Here is a 24,172-nt window from a genome sequence, read left to right as displayed (position 1 = left end):
AGGAGGGCAGGGTAAGTTCAAAAACAATGTGAATGCTGGCTGCAGCTTGGGCTGCAGTGAACCAGGCCTTCCTCACTGCTTTAACTATCCAAACACTAAGGGCCACCGTTTCACTCCTGTAACCTTTCCATTTCATGCCATTGGTGTGACCCGTTCATCTAGTGCATGGGTACCCTGCTCCCCAGCCAGTGAGGGAGCTGTTTTTCAACGTCTGAGAAGTCTCCTCCCCGATCCCCAGATTTAGCACATTTAGTCGTATTTGTGAAGAACACAATACATACTAGTTGTTGGTGTTCAATGTATGGTAGTCGGGGGTAGAAAGCAGTGACCAAGGGAAAAAAAGCTTTAAAAAAGGAAAACATATGGCCAGGCGTGGTAGCTCACACCTGTAATCCCAGCACTCTGGGAGGCCAAGGCAGGTGGATCACGAGGTCAGGAGATCGAGACCATCCTGGCTAACACGGTGAAGCCCCATCTCTACTAAAAATACAAAAAATTAGCAAAGCATGGCAGCAGGCGCCTGTAGTCCCAGCTACTCGGGAGGCTGAGGCAGGAGAATGGCGTGAACCCGGGAGGTGGAGCTTGCAGTGAGCCGAGATCGCGCCACTGCACTCCAGCCTGGGGGACAGAGCGAGACTCCGTCTCAAAAGAAAAAAGAAAAAAAAAAAAGGAAAATATATTATTATCCTAAAAGAGTTCATTTTGTGGATGAGAGAAAAGGAAGAAAATTATATTTGTTGGACCTACTGGATGCCATTTATAGATAATCATCTCGCTTTGTAGTGCTTTACTAAGAAATATGTTGTACTATTCCACTTCGCCCAAAATCACATAGCTAACAAATTTTTTTTTTTTTTTTGAAATGGAGTTTCGCTCTTGTTGCCCAGGCTAGTGTGCAATGGCGCGATCTCAGTTCACTGCAACCTCCACCTCCCAGGTTCAAGCGATTCTCCTGCCTCAGCCTCCCAAGTAGCTGGGATTACAGGCATGCACCACCACACCTGGCTAATTTTTTGTATTTTTAGTGGAGACCGGGTTTCTCCATGTTGGTCAGGCTGGTCTCAAACTCCCGACTTTAGGTGATCTGCCCGCCTCAGCCTCCCAAAGTGCTGGGATTACAGGCGTGAGCCACCGTGCCCGGCTGCTAACAACTTTTAATTCTCAAGTCAAACCCTGGTCTTTCCATTAAGCCTTTCATAAACTCAGGAAAAGAGAAGAAAATCCTTTAAAAAAAAATAAATCAGCAGTGCGATTAATATTGCCCAAATGAAGCCCACAGATACCCAGGGATGGCAATTAAAGCTAGATAAGGGAGGATATAGTTAAGCATAACTTCTTGGACAAAGTCAGTCCTGAGTTGAATTCTGGAAGAGGTGCAGGCCATGGGCTAACATTAATGAAAGCACTAAGGAAGGAAGGAAGTCATGTGGCAAGGAGACTAACTTAGATGAAGCTCAAGAGTTACAGGAAAAAGTAATGAGAGCTGAGGAGGAGGGAGTCACTGTTCAACTCAGGCATTTGCTAAGCTTCAGCTCTATACAAGGCCCTGATAGGGAGGATAAAAGTGAAAAGAAACAATTCCCACCTTTTAATTTACATTTAAATGGGAGAGATCAAACGTATTCCCAAATAACAATAGTACTAAGGTAAAATGTAATGTGAACTATATTACAAATGTAAACCAAAAGCTATGGGACTATAATAATGGAAGGAATACAATAATGGCAGACTTCATGAAGGAGGTGACATTTGAACTCGGTCTTCAAGGATGGCAATATCTCAACAGGTAGTGATGAGGAGGAAATAGTCTGAGCCATCACAGAGGAAGGGAAGGGTAGGGTACTTGTAGAATAATGAGTAGTACCAAGTGATACAGGATGAGTGAGTGACAACAAGAAGGCAGTGTGTGCTCTTGAGCAAAGGAGGGATCTGATGAAACCATGTTTCAGAAAAAGTAACTGGTAGTAGTAATAATAAGTAATGGAGGGGAAGAAATGGAGTTTGCTAGGACAGTTAAGAAGCTACTGCCATAATCAGGGACAAGGAAATGAATTCCTAGAATGACAAAGAAAATGGAAAAAAAGTTTAGCCTCTAAAATGTTCTGGTTTACACATAAGTCTCTAGTTTGGATAATGTAAGTCTGCCCCCAAGAGGTGCTCACTCCCTTCTGAAACTGCAAAACTGAAAGCTCAAACCCGACACACAGCACCTCTGTGGAGATTATATGAGGACTTTTTCAAGAAATCAGTTCTGCTTCATGGCTCTTCCAAGAACATGTAGGTTAAGAAGTTAGAAAAGAATGTCAGAACATCGATGGGTGACAACAGGGAAGACTGCTGCCTGGCTGGCTGCCAGGAGGACCTAACCACATGACATTTTCCTTCATAGAGAGGCTGTGCTTCAAGCCTGGTTCTTTAGCTTCGCAGGATCAGAAAGTTAATTTTGCCAGCAAAACACGCACCTTCCTAAGCTCAAGACTAAAGGATAAGCCAGAATGTTTTAGAGGGAGAACCATAACCATAATCACAAAAAAGAGCAGAGACTTGACAAACACATCTCTGCAATTGGGACACATCACTGAGTCCACATGCCTTCTCTGAGCTGCACTTAAGATGGGCACTGCCAGCACGCATCGCTGTTCCCCTTCTCTGTGCTGCATTTCTGGCCAACCCTCTCCCCTTCCAATAGACACATTCATTCTTTAGATATGCCAATATAGGCTGGGCAAGGTGGCTCACACCTGCAATCCTAGCATTTTGGGAGGTCAAGGCAGATGGATTACTTGAGCTCAGGAGTTTGAGACCACCCTGAGCAACATGGTAAAACCCCATCTCTACAAAAAATACAAAAATTAGCCAGGTGTGGTGGCTCACACCTGTACTCCCAGCTACTTGGGAGGCCGAGGCAGGAGAGTCACTTGAGCCCAGGAGGTGAAGGTTGCAGAGAGCTGAGATCACACCACTGCACTCCAACATGGGTGACAGAGTGAGACCCCATCTCAAAAAAAATAAAATAAAAAAATAATAATAAAATATATATATATATATATATATATGGCAATAACATCAATAAGGCTACAGCCAAATCTTGCCTTGGACAATAAGCCATTCTGCCTTCTTAGGGTAACTTTTTCATTGGCCTCACCATTCTGGTTGATTTTATAGTTTAACTCTCTGAGGAAACCTTTATTTTCCTTACTTCCAGATTCTTGATGGGACATGGCTTTGCATTGCTCCCTCACATTGCCTGTGGTAGGAGTGTCTCATCATCCACCCTTTCCCTGGGGAGAAGAAAAGAAACACTTACTTCTTTTCCCAAAAATTCTGTTATTTCAACTCAGCAAGTTTATCTTCTCTACTTTTCTTAGCTCCTTTGCTCAATTCTGTTTCTTTTTCTTTTTTTTTTTTTTTTTGCAACTGAGACAGTGTCTCACTATGTTGCCCAGGTGGGTCTTGAACTTTTGGGCTCAAGCTGTCCTCCTGCCTCAGACTTCTAAGTAGCTGGGACTACAGGCATGAGCCACCATGCCTGGCCTCGGTTGCATTGCTTTAGTAGCCGCCACTTTATGCTTTAAGAACTGTTTTGCCTCACTGAAGAGAAGCTGCTGAGTCATTTTCATACTTGTTACTCAAATCAAAGTACAGGCTTCAGGCTTAGAAAAATTAAATTACTCCTTGTTTTGCCTGTGACAAAATAAAATGCACATTATTTTTTTAAAAGATATTTCTCTTTACTTGCAAGGAATGTTTTTTTGGCAATGACTTTATATATATCACAGTAGTACCCTAAAACATAATGAGGCAGATGAGAGTTTGGGGAAAAATGGTCAAGATTCATGTTGCTTTATAAACTCCATAAGGGCACAGAGTGTCAGATATATCTGATGGAATGAATGAAATAACTAACTAGTTAACAATGAATCCTCATAACTATTCATGGAAGATGGCAGAGTTTTTATCATTCTGGCCATAGAGAAATGCATTTGATGCCCCTTTTCAGCTGCAGGATAAGTTGTTAAATATGACATGAAGTCATTTTCACCACAGTTCCCCTGTGTTGGAACAAGTATGTTGGACTGAAGCCCCTTTGTTCCCTGTGGAAAGTCTGCCACCTCTGCAAACTTGTCCTCAGGAATGTCATTCTAGAAATAATCCAGCCTTCTCCCTGGGGTCTATGAGTCATACACAGAAGCTAATTCATTGGAGCAACTGGCTTTTCTTAGGCCCTTTGTAAAAGTATTTCAGAGATCCCTCCTGATGAAGCAAGGAAAGTAGAGTTCCCCCTCAGCTTCTTTCTAGTTCTTCCCTTATTTGCTCTGTGCTTCTTCCACCACCTCATATTTGGCTTTCACTGATGACCTTTACCTGCAGACCCAGGCCCCAATTCCTTAGCTAGTGTTGCCCGAAGCTGGAAGTACACCAGCAAAGCCTCATTACCCCACCTACCCAGCTCCATTCATTCAGATTTGGAATTAAATCACACTCTACCAGACCCTCCCCATCCTTTTTGCTGTTAACCACACTTGTGAGATACAGTATGCCAATGACTGATGCTCCAGGCTTGGTTCTCTACTATAAGGGGATACCCCAAAATTCATCTTTTTTCCTTTTAATTTTTTTAAATTAATTTTTTATAACAAGTAGTAATAGAACACATTTTCACTGTAAAATAACATGAAGCTGAAGTCCCCTTTGTTCAACTAAGTATTTAATTTGCATTGCTGTATAATTTTTGGTGGTTTTTATATTCTAGAATGTTTTGGGGTTGTTTGTTTGTTTGTTTTTACAGTGGATTTCTTTCTCCCATGTTTTATTTTTTATTTATTTTATTTATTTATTTATTTTTCTTTTGAGATGGAGTTGCCCAGGCTGGAATGCAGTGGCCTGATCTTGGTTCACTGTAGCCTCTGTCTCCCAGATTCAAGCAATTCTCGTGCCTCAGCCTTCCACGTAGCTGGAATTACAGGTGCCCGCCACCACACCTGGCTAATTTTTATATTTTTAGTAGAGACAGGATTTCACCATGTTGGCCAGGCTGGTCTTGAACTCCTCAGCTCAAGTGATCCACCCACCTCAGCCTCCCAAGGTGCTGGGATTACAGGTGTGAGCCACCATGCCCCACCTAGAATTTTTTTTAACACAAGAAATGCACAACTCCAATAAAATTCAAACAGTATAGAAGTATGAAGAGTAAAAAGGGAAAGTATCTCAGAACCCTGCCCTATTTCCACTTCCTGTCCACTGTTAACAGTTTGATGATAGCCTTCCAGAGCTTTGTAAAATGCATTTACATATATATATGTAGATAGTTTTATTTTTATATAAATGGGATCATGTTATATCTGTTCTACAGCTTCCTTTATTTACTTACTATCTCCTAGTTTTTCATGTCAGTACATTTAGCTTTGTTAACAAACACGTAATACTCCATAGTTTGAGTGTGTCATAATTTAAATATTCCCTATTGAGGGGATTTGAACTGCTTCCCGTTTGGGGTTTTTATTATTACAGCAATGCTATACCAAACATCTTTGCATATGCCTTTGTGTACTGCTCAAGAATGTCTCTAGGCTAGATGTCTAGAGATACAGTCAATGGATCAAAAAATAGGTGTGGAAGCTGGGCCAGTGACAAGTGCCTATAATCCCAGCTAATCCCAGCTACCTGTGAGGCTGAGACAAGAAGATTGCTTTGAGGCCAAGAGTTAGAGACCAGCCTGAGCAACATAGCGAGACCTCATCTCTAAAAAAAAGTTTTTTAAAAAATTAGTCAGTCGTGGTGGTGAGTGCTTGTAGTCCCAGCTACTCAGGAGGCTGAGGCAGGAAGATTGCTAGAGCCCAGGCATTTGGAGGCTGCAGTGAGCAATGATTGTGCATGTGAATAGCCACTGTACTTTAGCCTGGGTGACATAATGAGACCCCCGTCTCAAAAAAGAAAAGATGGATGTGTTCAAAATTTTATATTACTCAAAATTTACAATCTAAGTGAACACTTTATTTCCCTTTCTTTTGCAGAGAGTTCTATTCTGGGAACTGACATTGACCTTCAGACTATAGACAATGATATCGTCAGCATGGAGATTTTCTTCAAAGCCTGGCTACATAACAGTGGAACAGACCAAGAACAAATCCATCTTCTTCTTTCTTCACAGTGTTTCAGCAACATTTCCAGACCCAGAGATAATCCAAGTACATAATCCCCAAAAGATATTTAGGCTATGATTATTCTTATCTGGGATCAGGACTCTAGATTGGTGGTGAGTCAGTGGAATATAGCATCGTTGAGGTTTAGGGACTGGAAGAGGGTTGGATGAGGCTGTCCAATATAAGCGTGAGGAATAAGAAGAGAAGTTCTAAGAAGCAATCATAGTTAGAAAGCTGAACCTAATTAAGCCCAACCAGCAAGGGCCAGTTAGTTTAGGGGCAAAGTCTGAGACACCTCAATGACAGAGAATTGGCTAGACTACATAAGAACACAGTGGATCACATTTCTCAATATTCTCATTTTTAATGTGGTAAATATAATTGACATTATAGTTTGGAGCATGCTGCTACCTCAACAATATCAATACAGCCTGTGGCGAGAGGAAGAGAACCAAGGTTAAATAAAGATCTTCTCGCTAGGGAGGCAGCAAATGGGGGAAAACTAAAGAACCTACAGAGATACGCCCCAGGGAGGACAACCTGTGCCCAAGACCATGTTCACAAAGCAGTTCAGGCAATTACTGAAACCGAGAGATCAATCCAGTGTTCTGGTCATGCCAAAAATATCCTGGATAATGGATACTGTTCTGCCTGGCAATTATACTTCATTCCAGGTCCCACTAGATGACAGGAATAAGGCCATTTCCATTCTCCCATCTCCTCGGAAGGCTGGCTCAGGCGGGACCTGGGGTGGCTGGGCCTGCAGATAGATGGGCCCATCTATCAGTCTAATCAGCCACACTGAGGTTGGGAAAGCTGGGTCCTCAAAGACCAGCTCCAAAGAGAAATGACCAAAGTATATCTTCTTTAGGGGTGGGAATTTGTACCCATCTTTCTCATTGAACAGAATACTGGTAGTGGTAGTGGCTACAGAGATCATTGAGGGTTGAAGAATGGATTGAACATGACGTTTACCAAAGCCCTTCTCATAAGTTTTGACACGACTCACTGGGGTTACCGCCTCCTTTGAGAGCTCTTTCTTGGCCATTGGCAGTATATTTGAGTTTTTATATATGTTCCTTTTCTTCAGCTGTAATAGAACTCTTTATGACCATTGTTTCTTTAGGACAGGGGAGGGCTTTTTGGAGGTGTTACTACACAGGATTAAGGCTTCCCAAGACCCTTTCTGTCTAGGGATGGCCGTCAAGTCTCTTCCTCTCTCCCCCATTTCAACCTAGTGCCCAGAATGTCTTTGCCAACTTAACTTGATTTTAATCTGTCTTTTCTTTGTGTAAAATATTCTTCCCAGAACCTCCTTTCCACCTCTTTTGTCCAAGGCTGATAGTACCAATTTCTCCCTGTCCTATCCTCTGGACTTCACTTATCTGTTTTCCCTACTTAAGGCAGCTAGCAACTTTATATAGAAGCTAGTGTATAGCTAACATTATTAAGCCCTGCCTCTGTGCCAAGCACTAACTTCATTTCTTGCATTATCCCATTTTATCTTCACATAACACTATGAGGCAGATACTGTTACCATATGTCATTGAATCTAAGATGCTATCAATTGTAAGGTACACCACTATTTTATGTACCAGTAAGAAAGAAAACAGGCTAGGTGCAGTGGCTTACTCCTGTAATGCCAGCATTCTGGGAGGCAAAGGTGGGAGGATCCGTTGAAGCCAGGAATTAATGACAGCCTGTGTAACATAGACCTGTCTCTACAAAAAATAAAAATAAAAAATTAGCCAGGCACAGTGGTATGCACCTGTAGTCTCAGCTACTCAGGAGGCCGAGGCAAGAGGATCACTTGCACCCAGGAGTTCAAGGTTGCAGTGAGCTGTGATGGAGCCACTGCACTTCAGCCTGGGCAACAGAGTGAGACCCTATCTCTAAAAAAATGTTTTTAATAATAAAGATTTTTTTTTAAAAAAAAGAAAGAAGACATTGCCCGTTAAACATTACACAGCTCTTTCTTGTCACTTAGAAGTAGTATTTTACCTGTATCGAGAGAGCTCTTTTAGGTTAGAGTAGTAAGTAAGGACTTAGAGTGCCTGCCTGGCCAATGGCAATTGTAAGACACATACAGAGATGAAAAAAAATGTGTCTTAGAATCAATTAAATACAATATTACCCCCATTTTCCATATGAGAAAACTGAGACTTAGAGAAATTAAGCACACTTTCCCAGGGCTGCACAGAAAATTAGTAGCAGAGCTAGGATTTGAAGCCAGGCAACAGGGCCCACTCTTAACCCTTAGGATCAGAAATCTATATTTTGTACACTTGACACTCTCAGCCCAGACAATGTCAATAAACCCAGGTCTATCTTCCTCCAGAACCTGGGCCTTTATCTACTATATTAACCTGCCTCATGCTAAGCAATTCTGAACAAAGGGGCTAGAGATTCACTTCTTTCATTAGGAGGGCTGGTGCCCTCAGAGGCCAGGAACTCCTGTAACCAGCCTTTCTTCCACTATCACATGGCATTTGCCCATGGTGCTAATCAGAATTTCTCTAGCTTCCCCTCTGTCTTTCCAAAGCTTTCAGCACCAGGATCAGAGCCAGAATATTTAACTCCATCTATAATCATTTTTTCAGAAATCTGTAGGTCTTCGGGATGCACAGTGGAACTTATATCCAGACTGCAGTCAGCTTTTCTGCTGGGGAGGTCTTCACTGGAATCCAGATGTTTAGGCACAGCTGGAATGAGGTCTGGGGAAATTAGGCCTCTTCTAGGGTGGATGTGACCCACCTGAGATTTTAAACACAATAAAGATTATGCTGGCATTATTATTTTAAAAATTGATGTATTGCCACACATGTAGATTTCTGGAGTATGGCTCACTACAAAAAATGAAAGAAAACAAAACAAAAAACCCAAGCTTTCCTCCTCTAGACTCTTTGGGGTATGCATCTCAGATGTTCACTCTGACTCCTTCTTACAAGGTTCTCTATCTGATGCCAGCTGCTTCTTTGCCTAGGGCCCTTCACCCCGTCTTTAGGTGCTTCCCTTAGAAAGGCGTTCCTCTGACAGAGCACACAGTGAGTTACACATGAGTTTCTTTTCTTGTTCTTAGGTATGGTGTCTGCCACATCTGCATCTGGGCTCTGGGTGGGAGAAGCACACCTGGTTCTAGATTCAAGCCCAGCTAAAACAGCTTTCCCAGCTTTGGGACACTCTGCTGAGACCACAGTTTGGGTATTTCTTAACCCAGGCTGCAGTAAGAATCACATGGGGAACTTATAAAAAATACCAGTGTCTCAGGGTGGGGAACATCATACACCGGGGCCTGTCATGGGGTGGGGGTTTGGGGGAGGGATAGCATTAGGAGAAATACCTCATGTAAATGACGAGTTAATGGGTGCAGCAAACCAACATGGCACATGTATACATATGTAACAAACCTGCACATTGTGCACATGCACCCCAAAACTTAAAGTATAATAAAATACCAGTGTCTGGGCTTCACCCCCAGAGACCCTGATTCAGTTGGTCTGGGGTAGGGCCCAGACATCAGTATCTTTTTCAAGTTTCCTAGATCGGGGTCCCCAACCCCTGTGGCCTGTTAGGAACTGGATCAGCAGGAGGTGAGCAGCAGGTGAGCAAGCATTACCATCTGAGCTCCGCCTCCTGTCAGATCGGCTATGTCATTAGATTCTCATAGAAGCCCAAACCCTATTGTGAACTACACATGCAAGGGATCTAGGTTGTGCACTCCTTATGAGAATCTAACTAATGCCTGATGATCTGAGGTGGAACAGTACCATCCCCCACCACCCCATGGAAAAATTGTCTTTTATGAAACCAGTCGCTAATGCCAAAATGATTGAGGATTGCTGCCCTAGATGATTCTTACTGCAACCAGAATTGAAAACCTCTGCCAGATGAACACAGCTGTCCAGTCCTAAAGCCTCAGGACCGGAAATGGAGAAGTCAGGCACAGAGGAAATAAGAGGAAGCTGGAGTCCTAGGCAAAGTCCCTCCTACTGACTTCCTGTGCTCTGGGACATGTCAGGCTGAGGGCCGTCTCACCCAGAATGAATGTCTTATTCACAATGTCTAATGTGATAAGACCTAATGTCTAGGTCTTATTCACAGGGCCCAGGAGGGCCAGCTGGATCTAACATCTGTTCTGCCACTCTATTTTTTTCTATGTTGTTTTTTACCTCATATTGCAGTTAGTACAGTCATTTCACAAGTCACTAGCATCAACTACCAGCCTTCTCAGAAGTACTCAACATTTGTATATTCACAAGTTTGTTATCACTATTCAAGCCAGGTATACGTTTTATTGAAGAACTTTGTAATATCAAGGATTTAAGCTTGTGTAACAGATCATCATACACTATGGCATATGCAGTTACCTACTGGAGCAGAAGCTTAATGCAGAAGAGTAAAATACCTAGATGAGTAACTCCTACCTAGCCTAAGCATTCCTCAGAACTGTTGTCTGATGCCACTGTGATGCTCCAAGGCCCAGAAGGTCCTAAATTCATGTTTCTTTGGGGAATTAAAAAATAAGCTATTTCAGGAACTTATTCCTTTCCCCCCACTCTGAATGTCCCTGAACGAGCCCACAGAGAAACAGTAGCAGTCATCTGACTGCCTGACTTCTGCTTTACTGCTCTTCCTTCATCTGACCTGCACTGTTGCCAAAGCTTAGCCACAAGGAAGCAGCAGAAGCAAGATTTCCTTCTGTGATTGCCAAAGGGCCTCTGCATATTTTGGCATTAGCTACCTCCTCCACAGAGGATACATGTTCCTCAGACTGGATCACAAGCCAGATGTCTCACTATGAGACAACTGCTCAGCCAGCCCAGAAGTAAAACAAGTAAAGATCATGTCAGACTCTTGAAGATAAGTTAACTTTTATGTAGAGCGATAGAGATACTATAGCTTCCAGACCTGTTCTCCCTTTCCAAACCAGTCAGGCTTTCCTCTTTCCACTCTCCTGCCTCCTCCTATCCCTTGCTTGCCTGGTAGAGATGGAATGGGTAGCAGATGTTGTCTCTTAATGGCATAGCCTAAGGTAACTTATTACCCACAATCCTTCCTCCAATTGTAGTGTGTCTGAAATGTAATCTCCTTTTATTGTAGTGTGTCTGAAATGTGATCTCCAAGAGCGACTGCTCTGCCCATCCCTACTCGCTGGCACAGCTGACGGCTCCTTGAGAATGGATGACCCTAAAGGAGACTTCATCACACTCTACCAGATGGCTTCCCAGTCATCGGCCTCTCATTACAAGCTCCAAGTGATCAAGTATGGTCCAAGGGAACCTCCCCAATCCATGCAAATGCTATTCTTAGTGGTTCTGTGGCTAGGAACTCCAGAGATAGATGGTATCTCTTAAGTGTCAGGCAGGCAAGAGTCAGTTCCGAAGTAGCAGTTACAGCTATGGCATGAGGAAGCAAAGACAGGCTACTCAGCATGTGGAGGCCAAATGTGCAGATGGTGGGAGAAGCGCTGCAGTAGAACACTCTGAGGTCTGCATGAGGATTGTTTTTCTTTTGACTCATTAAAAAGGTGTTTATCCATTTAGTAAATGTTTATTGAATAGCTACTTTGTTTAGGCATCAAGACAGAGATCCAACCTTCAAGGAGTAAGTGGTACATAGGATCTACCCCTGCCCCCTCCCATTTCTCTAAGTACTAGAATTCCTTCTTCCAGGAGAACCAATTGTAGGATAGAATTAGCAGACTAGGCACGGTGGCTCATGCCTGTAATCCCAGCCACTCTGGGAAGCTGAGGCAGGAGGATCGCTTGAGCCCAAGAGTTCAAGGCTGCAGTGAGTTAATTGAACCACTGCACTCCAGCCTAGGTAACAGAGCAAGCCCTTATCTTGAAAGAAAAACAAAACAAAACAAAAAAACACAATGAATTAGCAATAATGGCAGAGTCTGCTTCAACTCTTCCCAGTTCCTACCACTGTGCCCATGCACAGGTTCCTGAACTTTGACAATCTTCTGTGTGCTAGATACTATGCTAGATGCTGGCCATACAAAGATGCATAGTTCACAGACACTAATTTAAAAGCTTTCACAGTACTGTCTTAGAGTTAAGCTGAATTGAAGTGGATCTAGGTGGAGGTTCTAGATATCACTAAGGAGTCTTTGACTGTAATTATCTCTTCCTAGGGCTTTAAAATCTAGCGGGCTCTGCGAGTCATTGACATATGGACTCCCGTTCATCCTCAGACCTACAAGCTGTTGGCAGCTGGACTGGGATGAGCTGGAGACAAATCAGCAACATTTCCATGCTTTGTGTCACAGCCTGCTGGTGAGTACCCATGTCCCCAGGTGAAAAAGAAGAATCGTTTTTAAAGTACCAACCACAGAAAAGCAGCTAACTAACTCTGCCCAATCCTAAATCTGCCTCAACCCTCAAGAAGACAGAAAAAACTGGAAATACTCTGAAATTTGGAGTAAATATGACTTGCCTTTTGTTGGTTTCATGCTATAGAGAATAATTCCTGAATTCAGTTATACAACACTAAACTTGAAAATCCCCGATTGGCAAGCTTAACATTTAAATGGCAACAGGGAATTTTCCGTACGTACCTGTATTTTAAAACCTACTTCCTTCCTAACACTGATAGACGTTATGGTTCATTTAAATGAAGAGCATTTAGTCTATGCCAGACATTGTGTCAAGCCCTAGATATATATTCTGTAGTGACCTAAAAGACATTACCTATGACCTTAAGAAACCCACTCTCCAATGGAAGAAACAGAAATGTATATATTCTTAATTATGAGAAGTTTATAAAGGAAAAGAAAAAGCTGCTATAAGAAAGCCTGTCTATAGAAGTGACATTTAAACTAAGACCTACAAGATAAGTGAGAATTAACCAGGTGAAGGGTGGCAGGCAGAGCATTCCAGGTGTAAGGAAAGGCATGTGCAAAGACCCTAAGGCTGGAAAGAGCTGAGAGAAAAATCAAGAACAGAAAAGCCATTGTGACTGAAACAGGGAGGAAGGGAGAGAGTGACAAAAGGTAGGGTTGGAGAGGTGAGCAGGGGTCAAATCATGCAAAGCTTTGTAGGCCAAATTAAGGATTTGGACTTAGGGAAACAAATCATGAGAAATAACATTATCTATTTCAGTTTTTAAAATATTACTTGGGCAGAAATTTGGAAATGAACTCGCAGAAGCAAAAATGGAAACATGAAAATGAGCTAGGAGGGTATTGCAGTAGACTAGTCAAGAGACCGTGGTGGTTTGAACTAGAACATTGGAAGTCAAGATGAGATGAGCAAACCAATTAGAGAAATATTTTAGAATCGCTTCTTGGCCTTTTAGCTATGACCAAGTGTAGAAATATTTTAGAGAGAAGATTGTCAGAACTTGGTTGAGAGATTGGATATAGGGAGTGAGAAAGAGGAAGTATCAAATAACTGCATGGTTTCTGACTTGAACAACTAGATGGATGTCATTCCCTGAAATGGAAAAAATAAAAGCAGTCACATGAAACTAACACAACACTTAGCAAAATTAAAACAACTGCAAATAGAATGCAAGGACAGATATAGAATAAAGGTTTGACTTAGTAGGATGATCAGGACAGCACAGCAATGCATCTCTTTCACTATCAGAAGCAGACTTCTTTTTTTCCTGTTTCGAAGCCCGCACTCCCTTTTAGGTCCACCCACTGAGTTCCTGTTTCCTGTCTGAAGAACACCCATCTCCTGTCTTTGCAGAGCAGAGACAACGGAGCCGTTGTAACTGTTAGTGCCCAACAGCTCAGTTTACTATTTACTCCACCCAGTTCCTCAGAATCTGAGATGATACATCACATGGGAGGAATTTCTCCCAGGTGGCTTCAATACATTCTTACAGTATTTGATATTTTAAACATACATTGACATTTTAATACACTGCTAGAGAGGATGTAAATTTTCCGGAAAATGATACCCTTTCCTTTTGCTGGGAATGTAGCCAAAGAAGACAGTCAGGAAAGGGATGAAGATATATGTACCAGCATGTTCATCTCGGTGTTATTTACAGTGGTGAAAAATTAGAAACAACTCAAATGTCCTAAGTAGGGGAAAAGTTATAGGAACTATAACCTGGTGTGGTGACTCACGTCTGTAATCCCAGCACTTTGGGAGCCCAAGGCAGGTGGATCACTTGAGGCCAGGAGTTCAAGACCAGCCTGGCCAACATGGTGAAATCCCACAGCTACTAAAAATACAAAAATTAGCCAGGCATAGTGGCACGCACCTCTAATCCCAGCTACTCAGGAGGCCGAGACATGAGAATCACTTGAACCCGGGAGGCAGAGGTTGCAGTGAGCCAAGATCGCACCACTGCACTCCAGCCTGGGCGACAGAGCAAGACCCTGTCTCAAAAAATAGTTATAATAGGCTGGGCACGGTGGCTCATACCTGTAATTCCAGCACTTTGGGAGGCCGAAGTGAGTGGATCACAAGGTCAGGTGTTCGAGACCAGCCTGGCCAACATGATGAAGCCCTGTCTCTACTAAAAATAAAATAAAATAAAAAATTAGCTGGGCGTGGTGGCAGATGCCTGTAATCCCAGCTACTTGGGAGGCTGAGGCAGGAGAATCGCTTGAACCTGGGAGGCGGAGGTTGCAGTGAGCCGAAATCGTGCCACTGCACTCCAGCCTGGGCAACAGTGTGAGACTCTGTCTCAAAAAAAAAATAGTAATAATAAGGATGGGAAAAAGTATTCCCTTCCATCCTGGCTTACATACACGAGATTAGAGTCTCCCTGCCACTAAACTCAGGGTTTGAGGATCTGTATTTATCTATCTGTCTATTTATTTATCAAATATTTACTCACCACTGTATGCCAAGCACTGTTGTAGAGATGAAGAGACCTTTTCTTTGTTAGTCTTCTGTCTTGGAAAAGGGCAGGGATGTAGTTGACCTGTCACTAGTAGATACCCATATTTTGGAGCATTTACTAAGTGGTAGTCACTTAACCAAGTGTTTTGCATACTTTACCTCATTTAATCCTCACAATAATCTGAAGTAGAGATTGTTATCCCAACTTTTGCAGATGGAGGAGGCTGAGGCCTAAAAAGACCAAGTAAGTTACCTAAGGTCACACAGCTACCAAAGTAGTCTTGTCAGAGTTTGAGGACCTAGCTCACACATGTAATCCCAACACTTTAGGAGGCCAAGGCAGAAGGATCACTTGTGCCCAGGAATTCAAGACTAGCCTGAGAAACAGAGTGAGACCCTGTCTCTATTAAAAATTAAGAAATTAGCCAGGAGCAATGACTCACACCTGTAGTCCCAGCTACTCGGGAGTCTGAGGTGGAAGGCTTGCCTGAGCCCAGGAGTTCAAGGCTGCAGTGACCCATGATCGCACCACTGCACTCTGGGCGACAGAGGGAGACACTGCTTAGGGGGGGTGGGAAAGAAAGAAAATTTAAAAAGAATTTGAACCTAGTTCTGTTGACTACAAAGCCCATGTTTTTAACTTCTTTGCTAAATTCCCTACTCTGGATGTAGCCAGATAAATACAGACTATAACACTGAAGCTAATTCTCCTTCACTTACACCCTATGCTTCTGTACTTCAGCGGAGTTGAACTCACTTAAAATGGCACAGTACTCATAACAACGGCTTACTCATCTTGTACTGCTGTTCTCTTTACTCCGTTTGGTCCACCTCATCTAGATTAAAGACCACTCTCCTATTCTGGAAAAGACAGCAGCAAAACAGTTTTCTTTCTTTTTTTTTTTTTTTTTGAGACGGAGTTTCGCTCTTGTTGCCCAGGCCTGGAGTGCAATGGCACAATCTTGGCTCATCACAACCTCCACCTCCTGGGTTCAAACAATTTTCCTGCCTCAGCCTCCCGAGTAGCTGGGATTACAGGCATGCACCACCACATCTGGCTAATTTTTTATTTTTAGTAGAGACGGGGTTTCTCCATGTTGGTCAGGCTGGTCGCAAACTCCCAACCTCAGTTGATCTGCCCACCTCAGCCTCCCAAAGTGTTGGGATTACAGGTGTGAGCCACCGTGCCTGGCCGCAAAACAGTGTTTAAATGCCTCTTCCTTCTTGTTTTTCACATGACATTTTCTCCAAGCAGCAAAAATCCTGAATGGCAGTATGTTATAGAGTACAAACTTTTCACAAACTTCAGCTCATTAATTCAACACAAATATTTTTAAGTGTGACGAGACTTATTTAGGGTTTTAACCTCCTAAGCCTATTTTTACAAGTTTGCCATGCTTCTTTAACTCCATCTTTGGTTTTTTATTCTTTCATATACCTTTTTCATATGTTCTTTTAAAATCTGATTTCAAGTCAGCTCCATATTTAACTCTCTTGCCTTCTGTTTTTCACTGTAATGTTCCCCTCCAGCCAACTTCTCATTCTAACTTCTGCCTTTCTGTTAATAGCAGCACCGCCATTGTCTAGTCACCCAGGCTTGAAACCTCAGTCACTTTCAGCCATCTCACCCTTTACACCTACTCCATCACTAAGTCATATCAATTTTCCACTCATAACATGAGTTGTAACTCTCCTTTACTTCCTGTTCCCACTGCTTGTCTCACCAAGACTTCTTCAGTAAACTCCTAACTGGCTTCCCTGCCTCCAATCTCTCTCTCTTCTGGTTTTCCCTGCACATTGGCACTAGCTTAATCTCCTTGAAGCATTCCCCTATCACATGTTTTTCTATGTATCAATACTCAATCACGTATTACACCTTGCCTATTCTATCCCTATAGCATCTGTTATCACTATCCTAATTCAAGCCCTTTTAACCTTTCCTTTAATACTGCAATAATCTCTCAACTTGTCTCAATGCTTTTTTAGTGCTTCCCATTCCTAGTCCATTTCACATAATGCCAACAGATTAATCTTTTGATTAATCTGATTCAGCACTGATTCTGCCACTACTCAGCTGAAAAATACTTTGTGGCTTACTATTGTTTATCCATAAAGTCCATATTCCTTAGCCTAATATTCAAGGTCCCACCTTATCTCCCATTATTCCCCTTCATGTACCATACACTCCAACCAAATTAATACAGAAACCTTAAATTTTTCCACCTTTGAGCCTTTGCTCATGTTGACCTTTCTCTCATCTCTGTGTGTTCAAATCCTACCCTATCCTGAAAGACCAAACTCAAATGGTACTTCTTGAATGGGAGCTCTCTAGTTTCTTCCACTTGTCATTAGACATTTGTATGCTGTTTCTTTTTGGAGAAAAACATATTTCAAATAGGTTTTTAAATATAGGATCCTATGTTTGAGATTAAAGTCTCAGATATAATTTGACTACCCAAACTCCAGATTGACATAGTGCCTTTTCTATCGCTTCCCCACTTTACTAACCAATTCCTAGGCTTTGGTCAAATTTAGGCCCAGAATAGAAATTCCCCCCTTTCTTACTTCTCTTTTTGGAGGAGTCAAGGCAAGGCAGTTTTCTAATATGTTGTAGTAAAATATAATTTGTGTTGTCCAGGAAAATCCTGGACTGTGGAATCAGACGGCCTTAGGTTCCTGACGCTTTTTTTATTTCCCGACTGTGTGAACTTAGGCAACTTGCTTACCCTCACTAAGTATTGGTGTATTCATCTATTTGTAACCCTAACAAATTTAATGGCCCCTACGTGGCTTAGTCTCTGCACAAATGGCATATATGGAAGCACTATCAGAGGCCCAAAAGTAAATTTTAAAGTGATTTGTGTATTCAAAGGACACCAAAAAGGATCTAGTTCATAACCCATAATGACATTTCTCAAATTTTCTTCCCCCACTCCTCAATTATCTCTAACCTGAAGCTGTTCCTAGAACCTTTCACACACACACACACACACACACACGCATGCACACACACACATACACACACACACACAAATTATCTCTACCTCCTCAGTCCCTGTTCTCTCTCAATCCTCTTCCTCCCTCTCTCAGCCATATATTATAAATTGACTTAGCCTCTCTGACATAATGTAGTCCTCCTCTCTCTCAGGTCCTGTCTCTTTCTACCTATTTAAAATACTAAGAAATAAAGCTGATAAGGCTTCTCCTTTAATCAATAGAAGTAGAGTGAGGGAGGGCTGGGCACAGTGACTCACACCTGTAATCCCAGCACTTTGGGAGGCAGAGGTGGGCAGATCAACTGAGGTTAGGAGTTCAAGACCAGCCTGGCCAACATGGCGAAACCTCATCTCTACTAAAAATACAAAAATTAGCTGGGGGTGGTGGCACATGCCTGTAGTCCCAGCTACTCGGGAGGCGCGAGAATCACTTGACCCCAAGAGGCAGAGGTTGCAGTGAGCCGAGATCGCGCCACTGCACTCCAGCCTGGGTGATAGAGTGAGACTCCATCTCAAAAAAAAAAAAAAAAAAAAAGTAGAGTGAGGGAGAAGGTGCATGACACACACATTAGTAACTCTTGTCCCATCACATATAAAATATAGACAATAAAATATACCTCATGTGGTTTTTAAGATGATTAAATATTGCGTGTGTAAAGCACCCAGCACATGTCTAACACATGATTTCCACATAGTGGTTGGTTAGCAGTTCTACAATTTCCATTTGTTTCATTTTTGTAGATTCTAATTCTCTGAAGAAATTCTCCATATTTTCATCTAATTTCTTAAATATACTAATCATGGTTATTTTAAGGTTCTTGTCACCTAACCCCAATACCTGGATCACTTATGGATTTGTTTCTATTGTCTCTTTTTTCTCTTGGTTTTCAGACATGTGGCACATGTCTTTTGTCACACCTGGCAATAACATATATAAATAAATTGTAGAGACTCCAGCTGGTGTTAGCTTTCTCTAGAGAGGGCTCACCCTTCCCACACTAGGCAGACAGAGTGGTGGCTGAGCATCCTGTTTCACTAGAAACTGTGCTGAGTCAAGGCTGGGCTGCAGTCCTGCTAATGCTCAGTCTATCCAGGGTTTGTTCCTGGCCCTCCAGAGTTTTCCACTGAAAGCCTGGTGTATTATGTATATCCCCTCCCTTTGGAAGGTCCCACCTCTAATCACTGGCTCCCAAGTCTGCTAAAACATTCTACTTTTTGGAAGCTTTCTCCTTAAGTGTTTTTGCCTTTTGCCCCATGGAGCCCTAATATTTGGCAAATGTGTTTGGGGGAAAATTGACTTGATTCCCATCCCTTCCCACCACCAAGTCTCCACCAAAAAATCTGCTAGTTTCTCTGTTCTCCTGAACTTGCCTCCACAGGTGGAAGTCTTGGATTCTCAGCTTCTCCAACCACCACTACCACCATGCCCTCTGTCCCAGAATCAACATATACTCCCAGGGTATAAGCAGCTGCAATAATTCCCTCATCTCTCCGGACTCTTCCTTCTCCAGAGGCTTAGCTACCTCTAGATCTCATTGCCTCAGCAACTCCTTACTGCCTTCCAACAAATTATCCAGCTTTTCCGATTGTTCTAGGCAGGAGAACCAGTCTGCCTCTGGCCACTGTAACCCACTTAGATGCAGAAGTAGATGTTTATTAAATGCTCATTTATTCCCCCTTTGCTATCTGTTCAGACATAACAGCACATCTTCTAAGTTCCCCTTAGCCAGTTGGCCGGCTTCACCATGTTTTCATTTTCAGGCTCCTGGATTTCCTTACAAGTGTGGGTATTGCTCAGTTTATTCAACCACTGCCTCTTCACTTGCCCTTAAGTCGTAGTGATTAGTGCCAACGCACCAGTCCTCGTCGACTATAAATGTTGTGTAACTTTTCAAATTACATTTTACACATACTCTAAGCCTTAGTCAATCACAGGCTTGTTATTTCATTCCCTGATTTTTCACTTGAAAATTGTTTCTGTCTTCCTCACAGATTATTTTGCTTTATTCAGGTATTTCACTTGCTTTTCCTCAGAAAATGATCACTTCATCAGATAGGCAAGACTTTTCCCAGTCTTTTCTGAAAAATATGTGTTGTCCACCACTCCCGTAAATGTCACTCTTAGATTAATACAGACCACAAGAAAGCTATGTGTTTTGGCAGCATTCTTTGGAGCTTTTATAGATCTATATCTAAGAATTATTCACGTATTTTTAATTTAACAAAGTTAAATAAACATTCATAATTAAATGTAGTTTTCATTTTGAAAAGTTAACACTTCATGGTGCTTACCATGTACCTGACACAGTTCTAAACACTTCACAGCTACTAACTTATTTTATCCCCATAACCATTCTATGAAGTAAGAATTATTATCCCTGTTTTACAGATGAGGAATTTGAGGCCCAGAGAGTAAATGGTAGAGTAGGGATTGAAAGGCTGGCTTCAGGCCCCAAACTCTACACCACTCTACAGCTACATGAAATTTATCAGCATATTGATTGCAGGAGTGCTCTGAAATATATTCACTACTCAATAAGAAGCCACAGACAGCTTCTCCCACATTTTATATCAGGAAAGGCTATGGGGCTCCCTTCTAGCAAAAGTGGATGGTTTGTATTTCTGTGAGCTTATCTAATCCTGGCTGTATTATTGCCCTACTTTTATTTTTCTTTTACCCAGTCCCCTTAATTATTTATTTTATCTTTTTATGCTGTTCCATTTTTCTAAACTGGCATAGCTGTTTTGTGGAATGTGGTAGGAAATAAATATATAAATAAAATTAATTTTTTCCAAGTCTTTATGAGATCAATCTATCCATTGCCAGGAAAATATCATTTCTATTACCAAATCTTGCTGTATAGTCCTAGTTATGTAGCTAGTGACTCACTTTCCACATCCTCATTTCAATTACAAAGTCATGTCTGTGTGAACTAGAAAAAGAAATGAAAATACCACCTAGGTCTTTCAGTTTCCTACTTAAAATGTCAGAGTCTCTGGAGACACATTCCAGAGCTTTACAGTCCATGTCTGCCCTAATTGGCCACAGAAGTTACAGGATTCAAGCCATGATGTGTTCAGCAGGAGTCTAAGTACACAGGCAATGAGCCAGTTGGGCTATAACTGGGTGGGGAGATGGAAAGTGCTTGGTTAAATAGGCAAAGACTCAAGACCAAGAATCCAAGCTGAGAGTGGGGTGATGGCAGGTCAGGAGCCATTCGAGAACAGAATGATGGAGGTTACAGTGTAGCATCTGGGCGGGTGGGGGGGATAGACAGGTGCTAGAACAGCAGCCTAGCGTGAGTCAGTGGGCTTCCTGTGACCTAGCTTTGTCTGTTTCTCTTGCTTCATCTTTCACCTACGCCCCTCGCATCTTCCCCCCAGTCACACTAATAAATGACTGAATGTTCTCCAAATATGCTGAACTGTTTCACACCTCCACACCTTTTTTCATGCTGTTCTCTTCCTTTTGCCTCTGTCTACCTGACAAATATCTACTCATTTTTTTCCAGATCCTGCTTAAATAATTTCGGTATGAAGCCTTTCTTGCCTCCACCACAGCCTATCCCCATTCATCTTTCTTGCCTTTCCACACCCATGTACTTGTTGCCACATCTATCTAGACCTTTTGCACCATAGCTCTCTGATATGAGAAATGTCACATTACTATATTTTTCTAAATCAAATTTAGAAAGCATTGGTTCCCAAGGGCCAGGATGTTGACACACGCAATATCTTCATGGGTGCCTCTACCCCTAGGATCATACCCAGAATCCAAAGAGCTTAACACAGTACAGAAAATGTGGAAAATGACCTTCTGGTCTTCAGCACACCTCCCAGGACAATAGTGAATAGAAGTAGCAAGAGCAGACATCTCTGCCTTGTTTCTGATGTTAGAGGCAGAGAATCCACTCTTTCACCACTACATATGAGGTTAGCTGTGGATTTTTTTATAGAGGTTTTTATCAGGTTGAGGAAGTTCCATTCTACTCCTAGTTTACTGAGCATTTTTATTATGTAAGGGTGTTGGATTTTGCCAAATGTTTGTGTGTGTGTGTGTGTGTGTGTGTGTGTGTGTGTGTGTGTGACGGCATCTCACTCTGTTGCCCAGGCTGGAGGGCAGTGGTGTGATTTCGGCTCACTGCAACCTCCGCCTCCTGGGTTCAAGTGATTCTCCTGCCTCAGCTTCCTGAGTAGCTGGGACTACAGGCACGTGCCACCACTCCCGGCTAATTTTTGTATTTTTTTAGTAGAGATGGGGTTTCACCATATTAGCCAGGCTGGTCTTGAACTCCTGACCTTGTGATCCACCCACCTCGGCCTCTCAAAGTGCTAGGATTACAGGTGTGAGCCACCACGCCCGGCTGCCAAATGTTTTTTCTCCATCTATTGAGATGATTATGTAGTTTTTGTTCTTTATTCTGTTAATATAGTATATTACATCAGTTGATTTGAGGGTATTAAACCAGCCTTAGGGATAAATCCTACTTTGTTGCAGTATATAATTCATTTTATATGTTGCTAAATTTGATTTGCTAATATGTAGTTAGGGTTTTTGTATCTATATTAATAAGAGATATTGATCTATAGTTTTCTTTTCTCATGATGTCATTGTTCTGGCATGGTTCTGTGTACCCACACCTAGTGCTTGGAACATAATAGGCGCTCAATAAATTCTTTTTTTTTTTTTGAGATGGAGTCCCGCTCTGTCGCCCAGGCTGGAGTGCAGTGGTGTGATCTCGGCTCACTGCAACCTCCACCTCCCGGGTTCAAGTGATTCTCCTGCCTCAGCCTCCTGAGTAGCTGGGATTACAGGCATACACCACCATGCCTGGCTAATGTTTTTGTATTTTTATTAGAGACCGGGTTTCACCATGTTGGCCAGACTGGTCTCAAACTCCTAACCTCAGTTGATCTGCCCGCCTCAGCTTCCCAAAGTGCTGGCATTACAGGCGTGAGCCACTGTGCCTGGCCTGAATAAATTCTTAATAGACAAAAAATTCACAAGTAAATGCACGAATCAATGTAAAAATAGAAGATTTAAAATAATACTAATAATCCAAATCCTGAGCCCCATCAGAAGTTACTTAAGCCAACTGAAATGGAGTCCCCTGAAACTTCCTGGTTTCTATCCCTTCCAGGCTTAAACAGGCCATGTCCTCAGAGCAGGGGCAGGTCCAACCCACAATCCACATACACACACACCATGATTTGTATACCATTTATTTCCAACATGATGGATTTTAAGCATCAAGCTGACTTTCCTGCACATTTGGATTTGTTCTTCAGGAAGACAGCACATCTCTAGATAGAAGCAAAATGCTAAGAAAGCATGAACTTCTGAAGGCACGCATAAAGCTCTTGGCACAGTACCTGGTGCCTGATAAGCATTCCTTTAAAGTTTGTAATTATGATTATGACTAATTTTCCCATGCCCAAATCATCTGTCCCACCCCCAAAACCTTCTAGTGAGGATGCATCATGCCTCCCGAATTATCAGTCAAGTCCTACCCCACAAAGAGGTCAGCAACCGCAGGAATGGTACATACCTGTTTTTCTTGGAGCTGTTAACAGGTTTCCTACCACTTGCTGTGCCTACCAGACCTCCTCAGAGCTCCGCACTGCACAGAATGATGACACTGCTTTAAAGTGCAGAGCCTCCCCTACACCCACCCCAGCATGTGTCCCGTGGGGTCTAACTCTCATGCTACAGCAAGTGTTTTCTGTCTCACTGTGTCACTTTCTATTTGTCTTCCACAAGACACTGATAATCCTCTTTCCTCTAAAAATCTTTTCCCCCTTTTTGCCTTTCCTCTTTTATTATTTGTCTCAACTTTTCATATAAGAGTAGCCAGAACTCATGTGTTTTCTTCTATCTTATGTAGCAGGGAGGTTGTTACGGTTTGTACCAGATGTAACTGAAGATCACCCCCAGTAAGAGGACACAGTTTGAGATGATTATGATAGTTCTAACTCCATATTTCCTGGAGTTTTGTGTTTTTTGTTGAAAAGCTACCACAAAAAAAATTGCCTCATTTTCATGGCTCATTTAAAAGGGTACATCTACAAAATCTTCTCAGAAGTCTGGTTGTCTCTTCTTCTTACCCATGCCCTAACCTCTGCCATCACCATGGCACATGGCAAAGTGCCACCCTCTGTTCCATAATAACCCATCATCCACAGAGGCACTGCCCCCAGAATCCTGACTCTTCTTGTCCTGTGA

General features: G+C 42.3%; 1 protein-coding gene across 14 annotated transcripts in view, besides 4 other annotated features; it reads left to right on the top strand.

Moving 5' to 3' along the window:
• The window catches only part of M1AP (meiosis 1 associated protein), a 90,448-nt gene that overhangs the window by 60,469 nt on the left and 5,807 nt on the right, over positions 1-24,172 (top strand). For 9 of the 14 annotated variants that reach the window (XM_024452711.2, XM_047443433.1, NM_001281296.2 and 6 more), the window contains exons 5-7: positions 6,015-6,188; positions 11,244-11,406; positions 12,283-12,424. In XM_024452711.2, the coding sequence (XP_024308479.1) occupies positions 6,015-6,188; positions 11,244-11,406; positions 12,283-12,424 (479 nt within the window). Of the gene's footprint in view, positions 1-6,014; positions 6,189-10,937; positions 10,978-11,243; positions 11,407-12,282; positions 12,603-24,172 lie in introns of those variants that run through there. The other 5 variants (XM_047443432.1, XM_047443431.1, XM_047443430.1 and 2 more) reach the window with 4 other exon arrangements.
• Positions 9,279-9,378: an enhancer, noted in NCBI's record as "active region_16081". NCBI's record gives its function as "activates an Ori minimal core promoter by ATAC-STARR-seq in GM12878 lymphoblastoid cells {active_cell/tissue: GM12878}" and the evidence as "EXISTENCE:reporter gene assay evidence [ECO:0000049][PMID:35858748]".
• Positions 10,198-10,377: an enhancer, noted in NCBI's record as "active region_16080". NCBI's record gives its function as "activates an Ori minimal core promoter by ATAC-STARR-seq in GM12878 lymphoblastoid cells {active_cell/tissue: GM12878}" and the evidence as "EXISTENCE:reporter gene assay evidence [ECO:0000049][PMID:35858748]".
• Positions 15,409-15,618: an enhancer, noted in NCBI's record as "active region_16079". NCBI's record gives its function as "activates an Ori minimal core promoter by ATAC-STARR-seq in GM12878 lymphoblastoid cells {active_cell/tissue: GM12878}" and the evidence as "EXISTENCE:reporter gene assay evidence [ECO:0000049][PMID:35858748]".
• Positions 16,616-16,715: an enhancer, noted in NCBI's record as "active region_16078". NCBI's record gives its function as "activates an Ori minimal core promoter by ATAC-STARR-seq in GM12878 lymphoblastoid cells {active_cell/tissue: GM12878}" and the evidence as "EXISTENCE:reporter gene assay evidence [ECO:0000049][PMID:35858748]".

This window comes from Homo sapiens, chromosome 2 (assembly GCF_000001405.40).
Source record: "Homo sapiens chromosome 2, GRCh38.p14 Primary Assembly".
Classification (NCBI taxonomy): Eukaryota; Metazoa; Chordata; class Mammalia; order Primates; family Hominidae; genus Homo; species Homo sapiens.
Note: the sequence above shows the minus strand (reverse complement) of the source record. Positions and strands in the feature narration are given on the sequence as shown.